This window comes from Homo sapiens, chromosome 9, assembly GCF_000001405.40.
Source record: "Homo sapiens chromosome 9, GRCh38.p14 Primary Assembly".
NCBI classification, from domain to species: Eukaryota; Metazoa; Chordata; class Mammalia; order Primates; family Hominidae; genus Homo; species Homo sapiens.
Window position 1 is genome coordinate 107096872 of NC_000009.12, and position 6820 is coordinate 107103691.

At 44.6% G+C, this 6820-nt stretch overlaps 1 long non-coding RNA gene across 1 annotated transcript in view; it reads right to left on the reverse strand.

Annotated features, from left to right (window-relative positions):
• LOC340512 (uncharacterized) overlaps window positions 1–6117 on the reverse strand; it is a 128156-nt gene extending 122039 nt beyond the window's left edge. The window contains exons 1-3 of the long non-coding RNA NR_126029.1: window positions 5903–6117; window positions 5498–5577; window positions 304–388 (exon numbers count right to left, since the gene is read on the reverse strand). This is a non-coding gene — a long non-coding RNA (uncharacterized LOC340512). The remainder of the gene's footprint in view (window positions 1–303; window positions 389–5497; window positions 5578–5902) is intronic.
• Between the last annotated feature and the right edge of the window lie 703 nt (window positions 6118–6820).

Consider the following 6820-nt stretch of genomic DNA (forward strand, 5'->3'; position numbering starts at 1 on the left):
AATGCACTGAGAAGAATACGGAGATTCCTCTGTAATGTTGGAGATAAAGGTCAAAATTGGAATAACAAGACCTAAACTGGGTTATCAGAGACAGGGAAACACAGCACATCATCAAAAGGCCTTGTTGGCTGAGAAGAAGCAGAGTGCCAACAGTGGGGGGCCTGGTGGAATACCCAAGCAGATGGAGAAAATCACATTTATAAGGCTGGTACCTGCAGTCGGACTCATTTACAGGGGATAGAAAGATACATCCAGAAGGAAGGTGGGACTTGTCACAAAAGACAGACATCCTGGATCTGCTACCTTCTGGCTCTGCAGCACTGGATCATCCATTGACACCCTCTAAGCCTCAGCTTCCTCTCTGTGAAAGGGCTGCTTCTGGGGATTGCTGTGATAATCAAAGGAGAGGGAAATGGATTGCACATAGTGTAACCTGCTTCTTGCTATTTTTTTGAGGAAACACTCATAAGACAAACTGACTCACATCAGGAATACCCAGTCTTCTTTTTATTATTATTAATTAATTAATTTATTTATTTATTTATTTATTTATTTATTTATTTTTGAGACAGAGCCTCACTCTGTCACCCAGGCTGGAGTGCAGAGGTGTGATCTCTGCTCACTGCAACCTCCACCTCCCAGGCTCAAGTGATTCTCTTACTTTAGTCTCCCAAGTAGCTGGGCTTACAGGCGTGTGCCACCATGCCCAGCTAATTTTTGTATTTTTAGTAGAGATGGGGTTTCACCATGTTGGCCAGTCTAGTCTCAAACTCCTGACCTCAAGTGATCCACCTACTTTAGCCTCCCAAAGGGCTGGGATTACAGGCGTGAGCCACCAGGCCTGACCCTCAGTGTTCTTTCTGGATGGAATTGTGAGAAAGAATACTTTTGTCTTTGATCTAATTGCATGTGATTTCAACAAATGCTTCTATTTCCAAGTGCCTAGTGGTTTGGTTTCACAGTGTCTGCCACCCACATAGTAGTGATGTCTATAGTCTTTGTCATTCTTCCATGGACTCCAGCAATGGTGCATGTTGGTGCTGGTGAAGAACCTTCATTCAGATGTAGAAACAGTGGGTTCTTCATATATACTTGGCATAGTATTAAACTAAAAATTTGAAATTAAAACCACGAGAAAAGTGGTATGCCAATATGCTGCTTGTGCAGTTGAGAATAGTTACTGTAGGTGGGATTCAGTTTTGACTCTGAGCTTCCTAGCAGCCAAGGCAAAAAGGTAGTTATATTGGATTATTTAATGCTCACCATCTGTAAAAAGAAAGCATGCCAATTCTTTAACTGAAATAAATTCTAAAGCAAATAGATTATAATGAACATTGTAATACCTTCAAAAATAGTTCTACAGGGAATGCAGAAATGTTTAAGATGAATTTTTTCCACATCTGTGCATAATTCCAAGACTTTTGTCCATTAGGAACATAGTATAATAAAGTCCAGTAGCTTTTTAGTGATCCAGCTGCACTCAAGGACAGAACTCAGAACATGTTGCAGAATCAGTGAAGCGTATTCCCATAATTAAGCAGTGTCTAATCCTGATTGCATGTCAGGAATACCTATAGAGAGACCTGTGAATCAGAATTTTGGGAGTGAGGCCACTTTCTCTGTTCCCCCTAGAGAGGCTGATGCACATCCTTATTTAAGAACAGCTGATAAATTATCTTAGCAAAGGAGTTGAGCAACACACAACTAGAGACCAGATCCTTCCAAAAGATCACAAGCATTTAATGTGGTTTGCTAACCTTTTAAAAAATTTGAACAAATCTATGGCTTATCCAGATAATTTGAAAATGGACTTGCCTGCATTTGATGAGTCTTGCCACCCTTTCTTTCCATGGTCTCTCAAGCAGGAGATGGGGTGTTTGGGCAGTTCAACACTTGGACATTTTGGCTTTGGAAAGGCCATGTTCTTTTATGCCTCAAGTAGTTAACTTATGCTACTACCCCTGTCTGATACCCTCTTTCCCTGCTCACCCCAGCCCACCCATCCTCATCCCTCACCTTGCTAACCCCTACTTATCCTGTGACCCCACTTAAATGTCATCCCATGCAGGAAGCCTCCCCAAGGACACACACTTGAACAAGGTCTTTCTCCCAGCACCTCCTTCTTGACCCTCCCTAGGACTAGTAACTTCCTGTTCAATAGTGTCTTCTCCACTCTCCCATAAGGGCCGATACTATTTGGTCTTCTTTACCTTGTATCTCTGGTACTCAGCATAGAGCCTGGTGTATGATAAATGTCTAATACATATTTGTCAAATGAATGTAAAAATATATGGCCTGCCATATTGTATACATGAGGAAACTGAGGATCAGAGAGGCAATCACCGAAAGTTCAACTGAATGTCAGTTGCAGAACTGGCCTACAGGAATAATGAATGTGATAAAAATGTACTGATCCTTTAGTAAGTTTCTGGCACTTTGCTGCATACTACTCATCCATTATCTAGGTGAGTTGTTACCAGATGACTATTGAGTCATTCCTAAAGCCAGGTACCATCTTGAATTCTCTCCCACATCCCCTCATCTAATCCCCCATCATGTTCTGCCAGCTTTTCCCACAGAATACATCCCATATCTGACCTCTTTCGCTCCACTATAGTCTAAGCCACTGCCATTGTTTTCCTTGACTACTGCAATGCCACAGATGATCTCCCTGCTTCTACTCTTACCCCCCGCCCCAGTTATTTTCCCTACTAGCAGCCTGACAGATATTTTACAAATACGAATCAGGTCATGTTGCTCTTCTGCTTAAAAACCTCCAATGGCTTTCTACCACACTGCAGTGACTTGCATACTTCTGACCATGCCTTGAGGCCAGCAGGATCAGCCTGGCCTCATTCTCTGACCTCCTCCACCACTTGCCCCACCTCTTGCTTCTCTGCAGCCACACTGGCTGCCTTTCAACTCTGCAGCACTCTGAGCTCATCACACTTGCTCCTCCTTCGGGGCCTGTGCCCAGGCTGCCCCATCTACCTGAAACCCTCTTTCTACTTCCTCACTGTCCAACTTCGGGTCTTGGCATAGCTGGCTCATTCTTGTCACTCTTATCTCATTCAAATGTCACTTCTTCAGAAACATCGTCCCTAACCCACCTCAATCCAAAAGAGCCCCCTTAGTCATCAACTTATGCTGCTTTTCTTTTATAGTACTCACACTATGTAAATTTTTCTTGTGCATTTATTAGCTGCTCTACTTCCTTCACTAGCGATTGACTCCTTGAGTTATTTTCAGCCCCCAAGACCTCATCTGCCTCATTGTATCCTTCATACCTACAGCATCACTTGCTCCTTCATTATAAATGTTTTTAATTAACAAATAAACACCCATTTTTCAGATGAGATAACTGAGGCTCAGAGGAATCAAGTGAGTTGTCCATGATCACATACTTAAGAAATGGCAGAACTGGAATTTGACCACATGCAGCCTTTCTCTGGAAACTTCACTCATTCCTAAAATTCCAGATTCCCTGTCTTTGAGCCCAGTGCCCAGTTCTCTCCAACATTCCTGATTCCTAGAAGGGGAGGACTGAGGACTGGGTGGCTTTTTCCTCCCTGACGGCTGAGATCCTCAGACAAACTGGGTTTAAGAAAGTGTCCTCCTCCCCACAGACTGTAGAAGGCAGAGTACCAGGGTTCCTTCCACTGGCTGCTCCTGTGGCTCATCCTGTATGTGAAGACATTTTGGCAGCCCCCACTGTGACATTATGGGGAGCAGCCCTCACACAACCCTGTTCCTGGGCCTCAGATGGAATGAAGATTTCCTCCTGCCTAAGAGCCACTGGGGACAGGGTGATGTGCATAAATGAGACGTGACCGTACTTTAAGGAGTGCACAGGCTCTCTCTACAGCATGCAGGGTCTGAGAGCCTCGAGGTCACCATACAGAGAGGCAACACAGAGTGTGAGCGGGAACACACCTGGGAGGTGAGCTGCAGCAGGAGGGGCGGAGCATCGCCATCCTGCCATACACTGGGTTTATTAGCTGAGGAAAGTCATTTCCCGGAGCCTCAGCTTACTCATCTGTAAAATAGTGATAGTAAGCACCAGTGCAGAGCCCCCATATGTTTGTTCTCATTATACTCAGATGATGAAGCTGGGTAGGCAAAGGACAGAAAGGCAAGTCATTGCTGAAGAGACATTTGAAGAGAACATGAGGTGGCAGGAGTTTGAATAATATTAATATTACATTCCCTTGCATGGCACTATTGCTTTACAATGTACTTTCACATCTATTTTCTCCGGGACTCCTCACAGCCCTCCTATATACACGTTGCTATTATCATAATTACCCTCACCTCAAGCATACAATATCCTCAGGAAAGAAGATACTCGGTCTCAGATATACAGAGTCATGTAGCGAGGGTTAATTGTTAGAAAAAAAAAAAAAACCTCAGATATTTATAGTAAGGTCCGTCTTTGAGTTTGCTTTCTACCATTCCAATCCTTGTTAAAGTCTCTGAACATCAGTTTCCTCCTCTTTAAAATGGGGACAATAGTTTCTGCCCTGCCTACCTACCTCCCAGAGCCTTGATCTTGTAAGTGAAAGACATTAAGATAAACACCACAGTGCTGTGAGGTGATACTGTCACATGTCCCACCGAAGGATACCATTGCTTTCTCATCTCACTTTTTTTCTGAAGCAGAATTAATCCTCTCTGAAAGTGGTGTTTTCTGCCTACCTTCCAGAATCTGAGAGAAGATTCTAGAATAATCTGGCCTAGTCTACTAGTCTTAGAGCCATGTGACATAATTGCAACCTTGAGAAGACATGTGAGATATCTGAAGCCTTGCAGCCACACACAGAGGGCCCTGGGCTCCCTGCTGAGTCATCACCCATGGGTAAGCCTCGTCCACTCTTGGACAATCTCAGAAGACACAGGGTCACAGTCCAGAAAGTATCCAGAAAAGAACAGGCTTGCCACAAAGCCAAAGCAGCCCATGCCCAGGCTGTCAGAGAAAGACTGAGGTTGCCCACATGAGCTGATTCTGCCCATTCTCAGGCAAAATCGGCCAGTACCACTTCTTGTCCGCCCATACCTTGTCTGTGCCTGAGGCTGAAGGTGCCACCTGTGAGCCCAATAGCAGTGTTCTAGGGCGACCCCGGGCCCAGCACACAGTTGCTCCTGACCGCTTCCCACTGGCAGCCACTGCATGTCTTATGCTGCTCAATTCCCCACTTTTTATTCTGTTTAACGGTGGTGAGAGGAGCCGTGGCCTGCCCTGAGGAGTGTCTGCAGTGAGAGCAGGCACTGAATTGATTTTCAAGATTAACTGTCATCTCCAGCTGGGAAGCAGCTTGCACAGGAACTGAGCAATCTTCCTGGGTTTTCTCCTGCTTCAGAAATCACTTTCTCTGCCAGGTGTCTGATAAGGCTGGATTGGTAGGTCCTAGGAGGTCTTTTCCCGGTCACTGAAGGATTAAGTCTTCCAATATGTGAACACCAGGAGACACGAAGAGAACTTCTAGTAAGAAGGGCTCACCTTGTGGTTGTAAGTTTCATCATCTTTGCTGTGTGAACCTAGGCAAATTGCTTAACCTCTCTGAAACTTCAGCTCCTCATCTGAAAAACATAGACAATTAACACCTACCTTATTGTGTGCTTGTGAAAATTAAACATAATGTATGTAAAGTGCCTGGCCTAGAAAAGCATTCCATAAAATGAGTGATGATTATTATTTAATTCCCACCCTTCCAGTAGCTGACTTCACCCAGAGCTGTTCCTTCAAACTGGGTTCATATTTTCCACAGAAACTAAATAAATTAATAAGGGAGGCCAAGAGGAAATAAATGAATAAATATTTTATTTGGCTGAGAAAATTTTATCTCATCCATAGTCCAAGTTCCTGATGGTTTCATACCTTGGTGGTTCTTCTTCATCAACTTACCTGCCCATCTCACCTCTAAATGGTCCCCGCGCCATTCTGGTGTCCAGAATAGATGCAGAGATTTAGCTTATCCTGTTTCTTGGACCAGTGCCAAAGCTCCTCCTTATTAATGTTCAACCTGTTCTCTCCTGAAATCTCCTCTGCCTCAGGAGTGCTTCCTCTGGCATGAGATTACTGGTTCCCATGTTAGTTGCGAGACTGTGAGGTCCATCTGTTGAGATCCAATGAATGACCTTGGTTATTAGCCATGCCTGCTTGAAATGTCACAATGTGCCCCGCGCGGTGGCTCAAGCCTGTAATCCCAGCACTTTGGGAGGCCGAGGCGGGTGGATCACAAGGTCAGGAGATCGAGACCATCCTGGCTAACATGGTGAAACCTAGTCTGTACTAAAAATACAAAAAAATTAGCCAGGCGTGCTGGCGGGCGCCTGTAGTCCCAGCTACTTGGGAGGCTGAGGCAGGAGAACGGCGTGAACCCGGGAGGCAGAGGTTGCAGTGAGCCGAGATCGTGTCATTGCACTCCAGCCTGGGCGACAGAGCGAGACTCCGTTTCAAAAAAAAAAAAAAAAAAAAGTCACAATGTACTCACTTCTGCAAGAACCAACTTCCTTGCTACCATCCACAACCCAGCACCCATTGTTTCTCATCTAAAACAGGATCACGCTGGATGCTTGTTAAAGATGCAGAGTCCTGGGCTGTACTCATACCACTGAATAGCTAAAGGAAGTAAGGAAAATGATATGATTCTACCCAAGCCGAATCTCTAAGGGTAAGGCTAGGAATCTGCCTGTGTAGGAAACCCCCAACTCATTATTGTGCTGATGAAAAGTTGAGAAGCACTCCAAGAAAGTAACAGAAAGACTCTTAAAATTGCATAGTCCTCCCTCTGCTTTTATCCATGGAGAGGAGTGTGTAAAC